At 44.9% G+C, this 17986-nt stretch overlaps 2 protein-coding genes across 39 annotated transcripts in view, besides 7 other annotated features; one reads left to right on the top strand and one right to left on the bottom strand.

The window, feature by feature from the left end:
• ZBTB1 (zinc finger and BTB domain containing 1) overlaps positions 1 to 3481 on the bottom strand; it is a 29978-nt gene extending 26497 nt beyond the window's left edge. For 7 of the 28 annotated variants that reach the window (XM_047431108.1, XM_047431110.1, NM_014950.3 and 4 more), the window contains exon 1: positions 2251 to 2427. The gene's annotated coding sequence lies outside the window, so the exon portion shown is untranslated. Of the gene's footprint in view, positions 1 to 1336; positions 2428 to 3105 lie in introns of those variants that run through there. The other 21 variants (XM_047431107.1, XM_047431092.1, NM_001438534.1 and 18 more) reach the window with 7 other exon arrangements.
• The window catches only part of ZBTB25 (zinc finger and BTB domain containing 25), a 56108-nt gene continuing 40105 nt past the window's right edge, over positions 1984 to 17986 (top strand). Inside the window, exons 1-5 of one of the 11 annotated variants that reach the window (NM_001304507.1) lie at positions 1984 to 2710; positions 4070 to 4296; positions 4382 to 4628; positions 7634 to 7756; positions 16657 to 16836. In NM_001304507.1, the coding sequence (NP_001291436.1) occupies positions 16664 to 16836 (173 nt within the window). In that variant the 5' untranslated portion in view covers positions 1984 to 2710; positions 4070 to 4296; positions 4382 to 4628; positions 7634 to 7756; positions 16657 to 16663. Of the gene's footprint in view, positions 2711 to 3232; positions 3641 to 4069; positions 4297 to 4381; positions 4629 to 6743; positions 7757 to 9204; positions 9265 to 11637; positions 11955 to 16656; positions 16837 to 17986 lie in introns of those variants that run through there. The other 10 variants (NM_001354686.2, NM_001354685.2, NM_001354682.2 and 7 more) reach the window with 10 other exon arrangements.
• Positions 2118 to 2227: a silencer, noted in NCBI's record as "silent region_5837". NCBI's record gives its function as "represses an Ori minimal core promoter by ATAC-STARR-seq in GM12878 lymphoblastoid cells {active_cell/tissue: GM12878}" and the evidence as "EXISTENCE:reporter gene assay evidence [ECO:0000049][PMID:35858748]".
• Positions 2317 to 2987: an enhancer, noted in NCBI's record as "NANOG-H3K27ac-H3K4me1 hESC enhancer chr14:64970928-64971598 (GRCh37/hg19 assembly coordinates)". NCBI's record gives its function as "activates a minimal SCP1, AML or CMV promoter by ChIP-STARR-seq in primed H9 embryonic stem cells {active_cell/tissue: H9 hESC(primed)}" and the evidence as "EXISTENCE:reporter gene assay evidence [ECO:0000049][PMID:30033119]".
• Positions 2338 to 2597: a silencer, noted in NCBI's record as "silent region_5836". NCBI's record gives its function as "represses an Ori minimal core promoter by ATAC-STARR-seq in GM12878 lymphoblastoid cells {active_cell/tissue: GM12878}" and the evidence as "EXISTENCE:reporter gene assay evidence [ECO:0000049][PMID:35858748]".
• Positions 3088 to 3177: an enhancer, noted in NCBI's record as "active region_8535". NCBI's record gives its function as "activates an Ori minimal core promoter by ATAC-STARR-seq in GM12878 lymphoblastoid cells {active_cell/tissue: GM12878}" and the evidence as "EXISTENCE:reporter gene assay evidence [ECO:0000049][PMID:35858748]".
• Positions 3198 to 3627: a silencer, noted in NCBI's record as "silent region_5835". NCBI's record gives its function as "represses an Ori minimal core promoter by ATAC-STARR-seq in GM12878 lymphoblastoid cells {active_cell/tissue: GM12878}" and the evidence as "EXISTENCE:reporter gene assay evidence [ECO:0000049][PMID:35858748]".
• Positions 3948 to 4047: an enhancer, noted in NCBI's record as "active region_8534". NCBI's record gives its function as "activates an Ori minimal core promoter by ATAC-STARR-seq in GM12878 lymphoblastoid cells {active_cell/tissue: GM12878}" and the evidence as "EXISTENCE:reporter gene assay evidence [ECO:0000049][PMID:35858748]".
• Positions 4108 to 4227: an enhancer, noted in NCBI's record as "active region_8533". NCBI's record gives its function as "activates an Ori minimal core promoter by ATAC-STARR-seq in GM12878 lymphoblastoid cells {active_cell/tissue: GM12878}" and the evidence as "EXISTENCE:reporter gene assay evidence [ECO:0000049][PMID:35858748]".

The raw sequence follows: 17986 nt of genomic DNA, 5'->3' as shown, positions 1-17986 counted from the left end.
TTTTTTTGGGAAGACAACAGATTGCAGCTTATTAACAAAAATCTATGGAAATTTTTCTGTATTTCTATACCAAATAGTTTCCTCTCCTTTGCACCAAAGGCTTAGTGCTTTTCCTGGCTAGAGGGCAAGTCTGAAAGCAGGTACTTCTTTTCTCCTGCACATTAGAAAGGGAAATGATGCTACAAAGAAAACGAGATACTCTTAAAAAGGTCGATGAACTATATCTTCCCCAGAGCCTGGCAAAAGAGGAGAATGAGGAAGCAGTACAAAAATTTAGAAGTGTTAAACTGAAATCAAAGCACAAGGTCAAGAGCAAGTGGCTGTGACTGTGCTCATGCCCTGCTAAGGCCCTGGTTAAATATGGTTTCTCTTTTCTCTGACAATGATACACCAGTCCCTTCCCCACAAAAACCCCAAAAAAGTAGGCCATCGTATTAGGAGTGGGAAGAATAGAAAGGCTTCAGGAAAGACTGTTCAACCTGAGTTATTCAATACCATGAAAATGTGGTATTAATGGAGAAAGCCTGCTTGCTCATAAAACGAATGTAAGAGGTTAACTGAAGACTCTACTGTAGACGTTATGTTTATTAACCTTTGGAAAAGCATTTCACCTCTACTATGCTTCAGTTTCCTGTTTTTGTTGTTGTTGTTGTTTGTTTTTTTGAGACAGAGTCTCGCTCTTGTTGCCCAGGCTGGAGTGCAGTGGCGCCATTTCGGCTCACTGCAACCTCCGCCTCCCAGGTTCAAGCGATTCTCCTGCCTCAGCCTCCTGAGTAGCTGGGATTACAGGCGCCCGCCACCACGCCAGGCTAATTTTTGTACTTTTAGTAGAGATGGGGTTTCGCCATGTTGGCCAGGCTGGTCTCGAACTCCTGACCTCGGGTGATCCACCCGCCTCGGCCTCCCAAAGTGTTGGGATTACAGGCGTGAGCCACTGCGCCCGGCCCAGTTTCCTGTTTCTTTAAGAGGAGGAACCCCCTTTCTAGCTCCCAAAGTCATCCAGTTATTATTGAGACTTTATTAGATATCCAGCAAGTGATTCAAAAGCAAAGTTTTGAGGTTCTGAGCAAATGTTGGCCAGCCATCATTCAAGCCTCATCTTTTTGTACTCAATTTTCCCCGTTTCTCCACATCATATCTATCTGCACTGACAAAATTTCATAGAATCTAATTTCTCCGTTTCAAAGAAGGCTGTGATTGCTCTGTAAATTATGAGACCTGCATCCTTCACCAAATCTGCTTCAGAGACATTGATCCTACGTTGCCTCAAAAAGCCTCGGACCACTCCTTGGGTTCGAGTGTCAAAGGGAACACTATTTCTTGTACTGATACATACCGTATGGAAATACACTAACACCAATGAAGAATCTGCGTGCACTGCCACACTGAAATTCGACTTAAGAACGTTATCACACACAAATGTCCTATCCCCAGAAAACGTCAAGGATTTTCATCAACCTCTTCCTGATTCGCCCAATTTAGAAAATGTCATGTCAACCCTTCAGATCATGTACACGCGTTGCTTAGGTAGAAAGGGAGACTGGGTGGGGTGGCTGAGCTCAGACCCTGCCTACATACTTTAGTAGTAACGACTCCCGATCTGCATCCAACACATTTACCGAACTTCTAGTAAGCGCCCACCGCTGCAAGCGAAAGCACTCCCTTCCCAAGAAACAGATCTTTTCCACTTAAAATTCCCAAACTCAGACCTTCCACTTTTTACTGAACAAAAAGCGTGTGTGCCGGCGAGAGGGGGTGGGAAACAGCGTAACAAGAATTTGCACGGATCTTACGCCTCCTCCCTCGGAGCGCGCCCAAGTCTGCAGCCTCGGGCTCCGGGACACTTCCCCTCCCACCCGCCGCCGAGCCGCAGCTGTAAGTTGAGAGAAGCGGGCTCTAGGCACGTCAATCAACCGGGTTCTCCCGCCTCCCGTCTACACCTCCCCTCCCCCCTCGAAAAAAATAAAGGCAGAGAAAGAAAGAAAAGAAGGTAACTAATTTGGGAACTAGTCTCCGTAGGGGCTTCGCCTCCGACTCAGGGAGGCCGCACGCCCGGGACCTGACGCGCCGGCAACAAGCAGGCGGCCTGGCAGCCGCCCGTCACCGGGTCCTCGCAGCGCGTCCGCCGCGCTCCGGCTCCCCGCACGGATCGGCGCCCCTCCGGCCCCGCACTCCGCCAGGCCCGCGGCCCGTCGCCCTCCGGCCTGGGCCAAAGTTGCGCAAATAGCCCCACAACTGGCAAATACTTACCGGCCGCAACAGGAACCAGAGCTGCGGAGATTTTAGGGAGTTTAAGGCAAATCAGCCGCGGGAAAGGCGGGCGAAGGCGAAGGGGCCGCGAGCTGCAGTGGCGGCGGCGCGCGGCGCTCGGCGCTCGGGCTGGGCTGCGCGGAGAGGCTCTGGCTCTGCCAGGGACTGTGCTGCAACAAAGGACTTCCGCTGCCGCACAGCCGCGCCTGCCGCACCGCACTGAGCCGGCCCCGCTTACGCGGCGACTCCGGGTCTGCCCACCAGTTCGCTGCGGCGTCCGCCAGCCTTCCCCTCCCTCTCGCCCGCCCACCCACTCTGCCGCTGGCTGCTAGGGGCACCCGCGGTCGCCTGTTTGTTGCAACAAGTTTCTGCGTCGAGCTCCGAGGAGGCTGGCGCAACCCGCACCGCGGGGGCCGTCGCGGCGGCGGCGGCTTGACCACCCCTCTTGCCCCTCTCAAGGGTAGGCTTGGGACCTCCTCCTCCTCCTGTTTGCACAGCTGGATGGAACTGGGCTCCTCCCGACTCCCCAGGGCAGGATGCGAGGCTGCTTTCCCACTCCGTCCAGATGTCAGACCCCTGCCCGTTGGGCCCAGCAGCTGGGCCGTCACTCGCGGTCCGCCTCGAGTGCTCCGGCAACCTCGCCCTGCCCCGTCGGTTCAGGGTCGCCCAGTCCCCGCGCCCCCCCGACCCCACCTTCCGTGGGCCTGCTGCCTCTGGCCCTGAGTCACTTCCCCCGCCATGCCCCACCTCGCCCAGTCCGCCTCTCCACCCAGGCTCCCGCGGCTCGGCCTCCCTGGCCCCGCGCCCTCATCCCTTCCCCAGCGAACACGCGGGCGCATCCTTCCCCACCCCCACCTTCACCCCAGAACTGAGGGGGTGCCTGTGCTTTTGCACACCCTGGGGAAAGTCCCCGGGTCACGCGGTTGTTTGTGGGGAGCCTGTGACGCTCAGGCTTGTCCCTATGCTTCCGCCTACAGAGTCACAACTGCGAACTGTGGCGGCGGCACTCAGAGCGCGGGCCGACCCCCGCCCGGCCACTGAGGCGGGCGGGCGGGAGGGCGCGCACGTACGCACGCACGCACGCACGCACACCCCGGCCCTGGCGCCCCTCTTTCCCCTGCTACCAGACACGCGGTCACGTGGGGCCATCGCGGGCTGCCGGCGCGGGAAGCCGCGCGAGAGGCGGCCGAGGGGTGCGTGAGCCGGCGCCACTGCTTGCAGTGCGCGGCTTGGGAGCCCGCCCCTCCTGCACGGAGGAGTCGGCCTGCCGCCGCGGCGGCATCTGGGTAAGCGACGCGGTCCTGCCCCTGTGGGCTGCCCCGGGCTCAGTCCCTCCTGCCGCGAGCCACCCAGGGCGGCGGCCTGCAGCTGCACCAGTCGCGGGACAGATGCAAGTAGCTGGGGAGAGGGGTGTTTTTGGTCCGATTGAGATGTCAGGCAGGGCACAGGAGGAAAATACATCCGCGAGTGAGCGCTGGGCCGACAATACCCAGAACCACCCTTTGCTGCTCGTAGGAGCGGCTGCCGGGGCCTGATTCAGGGTGGCACACGGGGTGCCGCGAAGGTGCAGAGCCGTCCCGGCCGCGGGTCCGGGTGCGACCCCCAGCAGGAAACCCCAGTAGGCCTGCGGCCTCCCTCGGGTAGCGCCGACCCCTCTTACGAGCGGGCGACTTTCCAGATGCTGGGAGGACGCTGCGGCTACTGTTTCCACTCCCAGCTTGTGATTACCTCGTTTCTAGGGCAAGAAGACATCCCCCCCTTTTCTATCTTCAAATTATGTTTATCTTGTTCTAAGCATATCCGGTTTTTCTTTTTGAAGCTTGACCCATCTTATCACCGTCTTCTCTGGCACTCAGTATTTGGAGTAATCAGTTGTTACCAGTTGCGGAGGCAGCGCATAGCACAACGTAGTACCTGGAACCTGACGGCACCTAGCATGTTTCAACAGTTAGCGCCCGCATCACCCCAAGGGATTAAATTTGGCATTCTTTCTCTTGAGACTCAAGTCCTGGCAGAGCTGTTGATCCTCTCACAAGATTCTGTCATGTATGTAAAGTACACTTTGGAATCTTAAATTTTAGAGCCGAGAGGTGCCTTATAGAAAATCTGTTTCATCCCTCTCGTTTTACAGAGAAGACACCAGGCCTGAAGAGCGTGATGTAGCTGGAGCTAGCTACACCTCTTGATAGCTAAGACTCCAAGGCTCCAGACACCTTGGTGATTGCACTCTCCACCATGCCAGGACCGCAGTGCCAGTTTACCCCACTCACCTGTAGAGAATGTATCCGGCGGAGGTCATTATATATACTTGGCTTGATTCAGGTTATGGAGAAGTCAGGCATGGCCACTGTGTGGGTTTGATGGTATTTCTAGGTGAGGTAGGCCGCCTATGGTGTATTTTTGGAACTAAAAGCCTACACCCCCCAGCCACCCCTGAAAGTTTCATTGCTGTTCTCTATTATTTGCAGCATTGGTTGCTTCCTTATGTTAAGGCATCAAAGTCTTCTTTAACAATCTGGATATATTTTAGTTAAGGGTAAATCGTGAATCCGTTATCGGACATCAACTCCTTAATAGGGAACAGAACACTGATGGGATATGACATGGAACAGATTAATTCTGAGAGCTGGCAGTCAGTGAAATATCAAGGTGTGGTCAGGAAGAAAACAGAAAGGAACCCACGTAACCTGCTAACACCTTTTTTGTCCAGTCCTACCTTGAATGTCTTATTTGCATGTAGTAGAGATGGATTCTGCTCAAGTTGGCCGCTGTTTACTGAGTACTTGCAGTGGGCCAAGTATCATACTAGCTGCTTTCGTAGATGAACTTTGTGTCTTTACCAAAAAGGAGATGGTACTGTCTTCATGTTACAAGCCTGAGGAAACAGGCTCATTACCTGGGCTGTGGTAATACAGTCATTCGCAGTAGAATTTAAGCCTAGATCGCTTATCTCTCAAGTCCAATCAGTGCTGTTTTGCATTATATCTTGCTCCTGTTTCAGCCGGGAAGGGAATGAGAGAATCGCCTGTGGCTGATTTATTGGCGCCTGTGGTTGCCCAGAGAGGCCAAGCAGGACTTTCAGCTGCCCTCTATGCCTTACAAAGTGGAGCTGTGAGCTTCCACCCTATCTCCTGAGGGGAATGTGAAGGAGCCAGGCTGTCTAGCTGGGGAGGAGGTGCCTTGGCCGTAAAATATCCTGGCCAGGGCTGTGCTGGGAAGTGTTGCATAATGTCCTCCCCACCACTGAACCAAAGTGATTTATTTGCTATGGTCCGTAGGTGGTGCCTGACCAACTTGTCCATTTTAGCAATAACAGGGCCAGAAAAGAGTTGGGGGTTTTATATTATTGCAGGGTTTTTCCTTGTTTTAAAAAAGCAGTGCAGGTGCTCTTATCTTGATAAGTTATAAAGTGCTTCTTTCTGCACCACTTCCTGTGCCCCTTTTCTGTGTATTTATTCCAAATAGCATGTGAACTTCAGTCTTTTAAGAAGAGAAAGCTAAGAAAATATTGCTCCAGTTTATTAGCACAGGCTATGGAGACAGACCTGGCTTTTTATCTCCACTTTATACCATTTGCTGATTGTGTGTCCTAAGCTTAGGATTTTTCCTCATTTGTAAAATGGAAATGAAAATAATACATTAGTCATCACAGTGACGATTTTAAGAGATAGTGTATATAGAGCACTTAGCACAAGGCCTCGCATATAGTATTTATTATAATAATAGGTTTTGAAAATAACCAGAATAGTATTCTCCCTAAAAAGGAAAGATATTGCTACTTGAACCTGCTTAGGGATAGAGGAGGAAGAAGAAAGTGTTTGTAACAAACATCAGTTTCAGGATTATTGATTAAATTTTTTTATACTTCTGGGGTTTTTTTTGTTTGTTTGTTTTTTGAGACAGAGTCTACCTCTGTCACCCAGGCTGGAGTGCAGTGGTGTAATTTCAGCTCACTGCAGCCTCCGCCTCCTGCATTCAAGCGATTCTCTGGCTTCAGCCTCCCGAGTAGCTGGGATTACAGGCGCCTGCCACCACACCTGGCTAATTTTTGTATTTTTAGTAGAGACAGGGTTTCGCCATGTTGGCCAGGCGGGTCTTGAACTCCTGACCTCAAGTGATCCGCCCACCTTGGCCTCCCAAAGTGCTGGGATTATAGGTGTGAGCCACTGTGCCTGGTCCATGTTTTCTTTATCCATTTGACTATCCATGGACATTTGAGTTTTTCCCCCTTATTGGCAATTCTTCTGCCTCAGCCTCCCAAGTAGCTGGGATTACAGACGTCTGCCACCACGCCCAACTAATTTTTGTATTTTTAGTAGAGACGGTTTCACCATATTGGCCAGGCTGGTCTTGAACTCTGACCTCAGGTGATCCACCCTCCTCGGCCTCCTAAAGTGCTGGGATTATAGGCATTTATTTACCGTTCTGCTTTCCCTTTGCTAGCAGGAATTTTCTTTCTCTCTCTCTCTCTTTTTTTTTTTTTTTTTTTTTTGCTTTATTGGGAGAAAAAGTGCTTAGAGTGTTCAGTTATTTTTTATATTTTTCTAATTCATTTCTTCTCTGGTTACAAATCAGTCATGCATGGATGTTTTATTTTTTCTGAAATCTCCAAGCACTTTAAGCAAAGGTTTTTATTAGCCCACTTGAGTAGTGTGTTCATGGGAGTATACTTCCATTGCGAAAGAAGTATTGGTTTACTTGTATCCAGAAGTTTTAGTTACTCTTGCCTGTACTGTATTCTAGGTCTGTACTAGCATTATAATTTTCCATCTTTCTCCTGTCCTTTGAGTACCTTATTTTTTCTTTTAGAAATTTGGTTTGTCTTTAATGGACTGAGAGGAATCTTTTCCTTTCTTTCTCCGGGTTCTGATTTTTTTTAAAGGTCTATTAACAATTTGTGCTTACTGTTGTTAGTATTCTTGTGTGCTTGGCTTTATCAGGCATCCTACAATGTAATGTTGGTTAGATGGGAATTAGAGGTGCTTGGAGGTTGGCTATGTCTGCCAACAGGCAGGAGGCCCCAAACTAACGTTTCCCAGTTCCATTAAAGGTTTCTAGAGCATAACTACTCTTCCTGTTTCATCTACCCCCTCCATACCCTCTTTGCTAACATTCTCAGTAGATCTTAATAAGCAGATGTCTGGAATTACAGCAGATTTTACCTCAAACAGTATTTTCAGATTTAGAATTTCTGTATCATTTTTAGGTGTTATGAAATCCAATCTAGGTGTAATGGAGTAAGAGAGTAAATATTTCTTTTTCCTAAATACTATTTGAAAAGAAGTCTGAAAATAGTGTGTTCCTCCACCCCCCCACCCATGCCCATCCTGCCAGTTTAGGAGCACTTTTGATTCTTTTTTTTCTTTTTCTTTTTTTTTTTGAGATGGAGTTTCACTCTTGTTGCCCAGACTGGAGTGCAATGACACAATCTCAGCTCACCACAACCTCTGCCTCCTGGGTTCAAGCGATTCTCCCGCCTCAGCCTCCCGAGTAGCCGGGATTATAGGTATGTGCCACCACACCTGGCTAATTTTGTATTTTTAGTAGAGACGGGGTTTCTTCATGTTGGTCAGGCTGGTCTCGAACTCCCGACCTCAGGTAATCCACCTGCCTCGGCCTCCCAAAGTGCTGGGAGCGAGCCACCATGCCTGGCCATGGAGCACTTTTGTTTCTTAATCTGGCCAATATTTTAAGGTTACAATTAGAATTACAGTTGTTTATATTTGTTCATTTAATGTAGTCAACATAATTTCCATACTTTGAACACTCTTACGGAATTGTTTATTTATAGAGACTAGTATAAAGTTGTTCTATCTTACTTAGTTTGAACTAATCCAGAGTTATACAATCTAGAAAGTAAAGAAAGTTTTTATTGTCTCTTAAATATCAATGTAATTGTAGAGTGTGAAATAATTTCTTGGGTTTCCTTGGTCCCGTGTTCTTCTGAGGCAGTGGTTCTTAACTGAGCAGTCACGTTAGAATCACCTGGGAAGCTTTTTAAAAAAAGAATCTGGGCTGGGCGCGGTGGCTCACGCCTGTAATCACAGCACTTTGGGAGGCCGAGGCGGGTGGATCATGAGGTCAGGAAATCGAGACCATCCTGGCTAACACAGTGAAACCCCGTCTCGACTAAAAATACAAAAAAATTAGCTGGGTGTGGTGGTGGGCGCCTGTAGTCCCAGCTACTCGGGAGGCTGAGGCAGGAGAATGGCGCGAACCCGGGAGGCGGAGCTTGCAGTGAGCCGAGATCGTGCCACTGCACTCCAGCCTGGGCAACAGAGTGAGACTCTGTCTCAAAAAAATAAAAATAAAAATAAATAAACAAATAAACAATCTGGCCGGGAACAGTGGCCTACGCCTGTAATCCCAGCACTTTGGGAGGCCAAGGCAGGCGGATCGCCTGAGGTCAGGAGTTCAAGACCAGCCTGGCCAACGTGGCGAAACCCCATCTCTACTAAAAATATAAAAATTAGCCAGGCGTGATGGGCACCTGTAATCCCAGCTACTCAGGAGGCTGAGTCCGGGAGAAGCACTTGAACCCAGGAGGCGGAGGTTGCATTGAGCCGAGATCGCGCCATTGCACTCCAGCCTGCAGCCTGGGCGACAGAGCGAGACTCTGTCTCAAAAAAAAAAAAAAAAGAATCTGTGCCTCACCCCTAGCAATTCAATTCTGTTTGGGCTAAGCCTGGGTTGGGACTCAGACATCAATACAGCTCTGCATAGAAGGTTTTACAGTATAGTCAGCAATAAGAACCTCTGTTTCAGGATAAAATGATTTCTACAAACATTGTTTCATTCTCTACATAATTAAATGTCACACCTCTACAGTCATGTGAAAGTTCCATTAAAAAGTTAGTCGCTATATAAAGTCTTTTATCATATGGCACTTGAAATATTTTGCTTTTGCCTTTGTATTTATAGCCATGAGTAAGTAGCTCAAAAAAGATGTACATATTCCTCTGCCAACTTTCCTGTCTCCTTGTCTGAATGAAAATTCATCATAAAGTCTCAGTGGTAAGCATTGACAGAGAAAATACCTAAGACTGTTTTCCTACAGAAACAGTCGTCTTGCTCTTTTTGTTCCTTTTTTATTAAGGATTCTTACAGCCTGAGAGAATGAAGAGCTGTGTAGTCCAGGATATCCGGCTGGCTACCATAGATCTGAGAGTCCAGTCTAGTACAGTAGATTTTTCTAAATACATAAGAATCAAAGATATGTATTGAATATCAAGCCAGCTTTAAACAAACATAGATACTAGTATAAAGTTGTTCCATCTTAATTTGAAGTAATCCAGAGTTACTACAATCTAGAAGGTAAAGAAGGTTTTTGTAATCTCTTAAATATCAATGCTAAAACTATTATGATAATGTATCACTTTGATAACAGATAAAACTTTTAAAAATGTAGCACTCATATTTTGATTCTGGTATTTATAAGTATAATAAAATACTTTATTTTTCCATAATTTCTCTCACATCTTAAAATTCTCACCAGAAATTCTCAAATGTAACTTCTAAGCTCTTTCTGTATTCATGGGAAACTTTAGCTATTTCACATACTAGAGAAAATAAAATAGACAGTCAAAGAATGATGAGCAAAGGCTATACAAAAAGTCTAGCTAATAATTTGCAGAGTAGGTTGTATTAGAAAATGTTCTAATAACTCAATGGAATGGGGCTATTGATTTGAAGTAAAATCTGGTATATTACAACATCAAAGATCTCCTATTATGCAAAACAAGTTTGAATGCACCTCATGTGTACTTGGTGTTTTTTTTTTAATAGATTTTAATTTGTTTCATTTTATACACTTGAAAAGTTTACTCCCTTATTTGATTCAACATATTTGCAAAATCTGCCAACAGTGTAAATGTTGAAAGTTCTAGATGGGGTTTTGAAGAAAGGGCCCTGGGTTTAAACTCAGTCTTGATGTATTATCAGCACCATTTAATAGCTAGTTGTTTGACTTCAGGTATGTTTCCTGCCTTCTCTGAGCCTGTGGTTTCTCAGCCATAAAATAGAGCTGATAGTACCTGCTCTACTACCTCACAAGATTTAAAAGAAAAAAAGATAGTGTAGGGCAGTGGTTCTCAAAGTGTAGTCCAAGGAGCCACTGGAGGTTTCATGGGTCAATAAGGATCTCCCTTATGTAAGAACAGATTCTCAATATACTTGAACCAAAACAAGAGATGACAACAGATTGAATGCAGAATCAGATAAGAGAGTCCAGCTGTATCTGTTAAAGCCAGATATTAAAGAGGATTGCAAAATGTAAATTAATATCACCCTTCTCACTTGTTTTTGAAAAATTTTTTAGGAAAAAATATGTTAATATGTAATGGGTTTATTGCTATTTTAAATATTTTAAAATTTCTTTTAATTTTGAATATAGTAAATATTGATAAATATAACCTATATAAACAACAGCTCTTCACAATCTCTAATACTTTTTTTTTGAGATGGAGTCTCGCTCTGTAGCCCAGGCTGGAATGCAGTGGTGTGATCTCGGCTCACTGCAACCTCTTCCTCCCAGGTCCCGGTTCAAACAGTTCTCCTGCCTCAGCCTCCCGAGTAGCTGGGATTACAGGCACACGCCACTGTGCCCAGCTTTTTTTTTTGTATTTTTAGTAGAGACGGGGTTTCACCATGTTGGCCAGGCTGGTCTTGAACTCCTGACCTTGTGATCCGCCTGCCTTGGCCTCCCAAAGTGCTGGGATTACAGGCGTGAGCCACCGTGACTGGTCTGTAATACTTTTTAGAGTGTGAGTGGATCTTGAGACCACAGCTTTTTAGAACTGCTGATAAACAGTAATGGTTGAGTAGGGCTGCTCTGCCTATGGAGTAGCCATTCTTTTATTTATTTTCTAATAAATTGCTTTCGTTTAAAAAGAACACAATGTTGGGGGAGGGGGTAATGGTTGAATAGTTCCTATCAGGACAGTTTCCTGCAGATAACTATAAACTTGATACACTTTTTTTTTTTTTCCTTTTGAGATGGAGTTTCGCTCTTGTTGCCCAGGTTGGAGTGCAGTAGCGTGATCTCAGCTTACCGCAACCTCTGCCTCCCAGGTTCAAGCAGTTCACCTGCCTCAGCCTCCAGAGTAGCTGGGATTACAGGCATGTGCCACCACACCCGCTAATTTTGTATTTTTAGTAGAGATGGGGTTTCTCCATGTTGGCCAGGCTGGTCTCGAACTCCCGACCTCAGGTGATCTGCCCGCCTCTGCCTCCCAAAGTTCTGGGATTACAGGCATGAGCCACTACGCCCAGCTGATAAAAGTTTTAAAAATTAATAGATGGCATTTGAGAATTACAAAAACTAGATTGAGGTCTGCAACTGGAAGAGGAGAACAGCAATGAATAAGCTTCTGTTTTTATGGCTTTTAGACTGGCATAAGGTCCCAGCTGGTGATATGAAGAGGTGGCTACAACTGTAATAACAACCTGTAATCTCTCTTGAAGAAAAGAGGACAGAGCTCACAGTGATCATGCAGCTGGAAAGTGCAGGAGAAAATCCTAGAAAGAATGTTGGAGTGGCAGAACCCCAAACACTGTTTATAAACTCTGCTTGAATTTCTTGCAAACCCCTCAACTGTACATGTGTGGAGCAGCCTCCAAACAGCACACTTAAGGCTAAAGGAGCAGAGATTTCAGCTGCTGTCCACCATAGGGGAGGCAGAACTTGGAGTTTAAGTCCAGCTAAGGTAATTGTCTGCAAAAAACAAAAACACAAACACTCTTTGGAAGAATATTACAGAATCTAGAGTGAATTGTATTAATCACAATACCTAGACTATAATCCAGAAACAATCACCCTAATCAGTGGAGACTGACCCCATAATTAGCCAAAGGTTGGATTTAGCAGAGAAGATTTAAAGCAGCAGCTATTATAACTATGCTCAAGGATGTAAAGCAAAATGTTGTATATGTGAACAAATAGGAAATCTCAGCAGAGAATTAGAAACTTTAAAAAAGAATGAAATGAAAATTTTACATCTGAAAATACAATATCTGAAACAATCTTGAATAGATTTAACAGATCAGATATGACAGATAAGTCATTTAATTTGAGGATAGATTAATAGAAATTATCTAATCTGAAGTAGAGAAATAAGTTATTGTATATGAAAGTTCTCTGTAAACTTCAGTGCTCTATGTAAGTTTCAGAGTTTATTACTCCAGGTTTCTTTCATATGTAAAGGGAAGAGGTATGTTTGGGTCTTCTGATCTGCAGCTTCCTTAATGTCCTGTCCTGTCATGTCTGTGTCTAAGCTTTATACCCTCTGGTTTCTTTATTTTTATTTTTTTATTTTTTTTTGAGACAGAGTCTCGCTCTGTTGCCCAGGCTGGAGTGCAGTGGATCTCAGCTCACTGCAACCTCTGCCTCCTGGGTTCAAGTGATTCTTCTGCCTCAACCTCCCAAGTAGCTGGGATTACAGGCATGTGCTACCACACCTGGCTAATTTTTGTATTTTGAGTAGAGACGGGGTCTCACCATGTTGTTCAGGTTGGTCTCAAACTCCTGGCCTCAAGTGGTCCACTCACCTTGTCCTCCCAAAGGGCTGGGATTACAGGCGTGGGCCACTGCGCTTGGCCTAGCCTCTGGTTTCTAATATCCCCTGCAGTCAGATATTTGGCCCTTGCTGCTTTCCTGTACTATTGTCAGAGGTTACCAGGAATCTTTTGGTCAGTACACTCGACATGTTTGTAATGGGCCTCACCCCCATGTTTCTCTTCAGTGTTTTGCACCATTGCCATCTCCTTTCTGCAAGGTCATTGCCTTTCCTCAATGACGATGTTTTCTTTTTTCTCCTCCTCTGTCTTATTTTGTCTTTTCTGTTTTCCAAAGATTCATTCTTAGCTTTTTTCCCTCTTATTTCATTCTACTTTTTAGTCTACTTTATTATTTTCATACTTGGTTACTTCAGCCTTGTCGTTTCAGAGGCCTCTTCTCCCTCTCTGGCTCTGCTCTCTCTAGAGCCCTGTCCTGCTTCTTGTCCCCGCTGATCACTAAACATTTCTACTTAGATACCTGGTAGACACTTGGAGCTCAGAGTGTCTGAAGTGAAACCCCTATTCTTCTTCTTCTTTTTTTTTTTTTTGAGGTGGGGTCTCAGAACCTCTTATCAAGACGGTTTCTGTACTTCTTCTCTAATGTTCTGGGACTCTGCCTTTATATCAACACCTAGCACATGGCAGTTACTCTGAAAATGTAATCTGAAGGAATGGATGAATTCTTCCAATTACCCAAGCTGGAATTCTGAGACTCACCTTTGATTTGATCTCTGTGGTGACAAGTCATGTCAGTTTTGTGTCTGATGTATCTCTTGTATTCCTTCCTTCATTCCCACTGCGATTACTTTGATACCATAGTAGGCTCCTAGCCAGTCTTTCTCCATGCCTTTTCCCTTGCTAATATTTTTTATATGTTGCTGTTAGAGCAGTCTTTACTCACGCCTAATGATGGTGATGATGATAATGCCTAGTATTTATTAGGCACTAACTGTGGGCCCACTGTTTCTAAGTGCATTATATCATTAAATTCAAATAACCTATAAGTTAGATACTGTCATTGTCCATATTTTATAAGTGAAATGGAGGCCCAGAGAGTTAAGTGTCTTGCCAAGACCACGCAGCTAGTAAATGGCAGAGCTAAAATTTTAAGCTGTCTGATTTTAGTTCAAGCTTTAACTACCACGCTCTGTTCTCCCTCCCACAGAGTAAGTTAACTGATCATGCTGTTCTTACTCAAACATCTTACATAGTTCACTTCAAACACGACACTACTTTTTAGTCTTATATTCTGTATGCTTTTTGAACTGACCACATTTCATTATTTCTGTTACTTTTTTTTTCTATGCCAAGCTGAATCCTTCTGTTATCTAACTATTCATATTCTTCCCAGTAATTTTATTCATTTTATTTTTTCTGCCTGGCCTTGTTTCCCATCAAGTTGCCTGTGTTTATCTCCCTCTGATAGCATGTTCTCTAACTGCTCTGTGCTACTGAATGCATTTATTTCATATTATAATTATGGTTTGATGTTTTATCTTTCCTGTGAGCCTGTAATCTTGAGTGTAGCATCTTGTCATTTTTTTCTGTCTCCACGCCTTGTACAATGCAGGCTTTTACACATTTTTTCTTTATTAAATTGCTCTTCAAAAATATCTGTTGAATAAGTGAAGAATTTAACTGTTACCAACAGACCATTAACCATAAGATTCCTGTATGGGTGGCTTATTAGTGTGCTATGTCTCATTTCCCTATGGTTCAGTAGTTCAATATAATGGGAAGAACTGGTGAAAATGTTTATGATCCGAGGGTTTGGTTTTGTTTTTTTTTTTTGAGACAACTTATCAGGCTAGTTTAAGATGCTTCAATATGAACCATTTCATTGATTCTAAGACACGTTTTTCACATGCTGAAATTGTCAATACAGATTTTTAGTTTGTTAGGCCGGGCACGGTGGCTCATGCCTTTAGGAGGCTGAGGTGGGCAGATCACCTGAGGTCAGGAGTTTGAGACCAGCCTGGCCAACATGGTGAACTCCCGTCTCTACTAAAAATACAAAAATTAGCTGGGCATGGTGGCGGGCACCTGTAATGCCAGCTACTTGGGAGGCTGAGGCAGGAGAATCGCTTAAACCCAGGAGGCGGAGGTTGCAGTAAGCCGAGATGGAGCCGTTGCACTCCAGCCTGGTCAACAAGAGCAAAACTCCGTCTCAAATAATAATAATAATAATAATAATATAACTTGGGGATTATTCCACATCAGTACATTAAATATGTAGTTTTAATAGAGTCTGCCTTTTTTTTTTTTTTTTTTTTTTGAGATAGGGTCTTGCTCTGTCACCCAGGGTGAAGTGCAGTGGCATGATCATGGCTTACTGTAGCCTCAATCTTCCTGGCTAAAGCTATCCTCCTGTCACATCCACCCAAGTAGCTGGGACTAAAGCATGCACCACCGTGCCTGGCTAATTTTTGACACATAGGAAGCACTATAAAATGTTAGCTATATTTATTATATTACTGATCACTTAGCTGTCTGCTGCCCAAGCCACTGCCAATCTTTAGACGGCTAACCCTGCATTACATCACTGACCTCCTTAGACCTTGGTCTGGCTGGCTGGTGTGGAAACCTCATTCTCTTTTTCAGTGTCTGCTCTTTCAAAGGATGTTCTCCTGGCCACCCAATGATGCCCTTTATACTACAGCTACCTTCTGCCTAAAGTACCAGGGCTCTCTCCACAGTAGGGTAGAGAAGATGATGTACAGTCTGCCACCTGCCTGAAACCAGGGCACTTCTGAATGTTTTTGCTGCTTATACTCGGCTTCTTGGCCAGAATTCTGCATGTTCTTCCTCATATAGGCTTCCCCGCAGTTGTTCCACCTTGCCTTTTACTTCCTTTGGGAACCTACATTATAATATGCGTCTGAATCCAGTTGAGATCAGTTCTTTCTTTTGTGTGTGTGTGTGTGTTTTTGAGACAGAGTCTCACTGTTGCCCAGGCTGGAGTGCAGTGGTGTGATCACAGCTCACTGCAGCCTTGACCTCCCAGTCTTAAGTGATCCTCCTGCCTCAGCCCCTCAAGTAGTTGGGAGTACAGGTGCATGCCACCATACCTAGCTAATTGTTTTATTTTTTGTGGAGATGACGTTTCACTATATTGCTCAGGTTGGTCTCCAATACCTGGGCTCAAGCAACCCTCCTGCCTCATCCTCCCAAGGTGCTGGGATTACAGGCATGAGCCACTGCGCCAGCTTAAGTTCTTTCTCAGGAGGCTCTTGGGCCACAAGTAAATTGGGGATGTGGCTTGACATCTATTTTAAGAGTTCCTGAGCTACTGTGATGATAAGTCCCCCAAACATTTGATGAGAGTTGGGAAGCCAGTATCCCCTGAGCACCAGAGGATCCCTGAGGAGGAGTGACATCTCTAGCTCAGCCAGGATACCGTGTTATGTTATTAACATTTATAGCTAACATCGAATAGCAGTTTCCATTACAACATGATTTTCACATAAGTTATTTAACTCTGAGGCAGGAATCAGTATCTCATTTTCATTTTTCTAATGAGGAAACAAGATTAGAAACATTGTGTTCACATAGATGGAAAAGGACAGGTCTGTCTTCATGTGTCACTCATACCAAGCTATCTTCTTACCAGATGAAAAAGGGTCATATTTTATGGTTCAGCAGAGTTTATATCAGTTGTCATAATGGAGGAATTTAGTGTTAGCCGTGTTTGCAGTGAAAGTAATAGGATTGAAAACTTGAATAATTTCATTTAAATTTAGATCTCCTTGTTACTCTGTAGGTTTGTGTGAACTGTAGACAATTTTGTATTAATAAAAAATAATGCGTATATACATACACACCTATCTACATTTATCTTGTCCTTTTTTTCAGAACCACAATGGACACTGCCAGCCATAGCCTTGTTCTTCTCCAGCAGCTGAACATGCAGCGAGAATTTGGTTTTCTGTGTGATTGCACAGTTGCAATTGGAGATGTTTACTTCAAAGCCCACAGAGCAGTGCTTGCTGCTTTTTCTAACTATTTCAAGATGATATTTATTCACCAAACAAGGTAAGGATGTGTTTTTGTAAATAAGAATTTTTAATATTGTGATTTATATAAGCTTTATTATAGTATCATTTTGGAAATTCTTTGTTACGGAGTCACACTAAGAAGTAAAATTATAATTTTTTTTTTTTTTTTTTTTTTTTTTTTTTTTTTTTGGCGACAGAGTCTTGCTCTGTCACCCAGGCTGGAGTGCAATGGTTCAGTGTCGGCTCACTGCAACCTCTGCCTCCCAGGTACAAGCGATTCTCCTGCCTCAGCCTCCCGAGTACCTGGGATTACAGGCGCCTGCCACCACGCCCGGTTAATTTTTGTATTTTTAGTAGAGGCAGGGTTTCACCATGTTGGCCAGGCTGATCTCAAACTCCTGACCTCAGGTGATCCGCCTGCCTCAGCCTCCCAAAGTGCTGGGATTACAGGCATGAGCCACCATGCCTGGCCAAATTATAATAATTTTTTATACATTAGTAATTAAACTCAGTGTGTAGGATCCATAATGGAAAATAAGAATGAAAATAAGAATAGCTAAAATTGGCTGGGCGCCATGGCTCACGCCTGTAATCCCAGCACTTTGGGAGGCCAAGGTGGGCGGATCACAAGGTCAGGAGTTCGAGACCAGCCTGGCCAATATGGTGAAACCCCGTCTCTACTAAAAATACAAAAATTAGCCAGGCATGGTGGTGGGCGCCTGTAGTCCCAGCTACTCGGGAGGCTGAGGGAGGAGAATTGCGTGTACCTATGAGGTGAAGGTTGCAGTGAGCCGAGATCGCGCCACTGCATTCCAGCCTGGGTGACAGAGCGAGACTCTGTCTCAAAAAAAAAAAAAGAAAAAGGAAAGAATAGCTAAAATTTATTGAAGGCTTATCCCATACCCAAGCACTAAGTATTTGCCCTATAATGTAAATTCTACTGCTGTCCCTATTTCAGGAAAAAGAAAACTGAGACTGAGTTAAGTAACATGCCCATGCAGGATTATACAGCTAATAAGTTAGATGCAGATTTGTCTGAAGCTATGTCTATGCTTTTAGTCACTAAGCTGTTAATTTTTGTTTCATATAACACTTTTGTTTTTTTTATTTTTTATTTTTATTTTTTTTGAGACGGAGTCTAGCTCTGTCACCCAGGCTGGAGTGCAGTGGTGCCCAGGCTGAAGTGC

Source organism: Homo sapiens, chromosome 14 (genome assembly GCF_000001405.40).
Source record: "Homo sapiens chromosome 14, GRCh38.p14 Primary Assembly".
In the NCBI taxonomy this organism is placed as follows: domain Eukaryota; kingdom Metazoa; phylum Chordata; class Mammalia; order Primates; family Hominidae; genus Homo; species Homo sapiens.
This window is presented reverse-complemented; position numbering and strand designations above follow the sequence as displayed.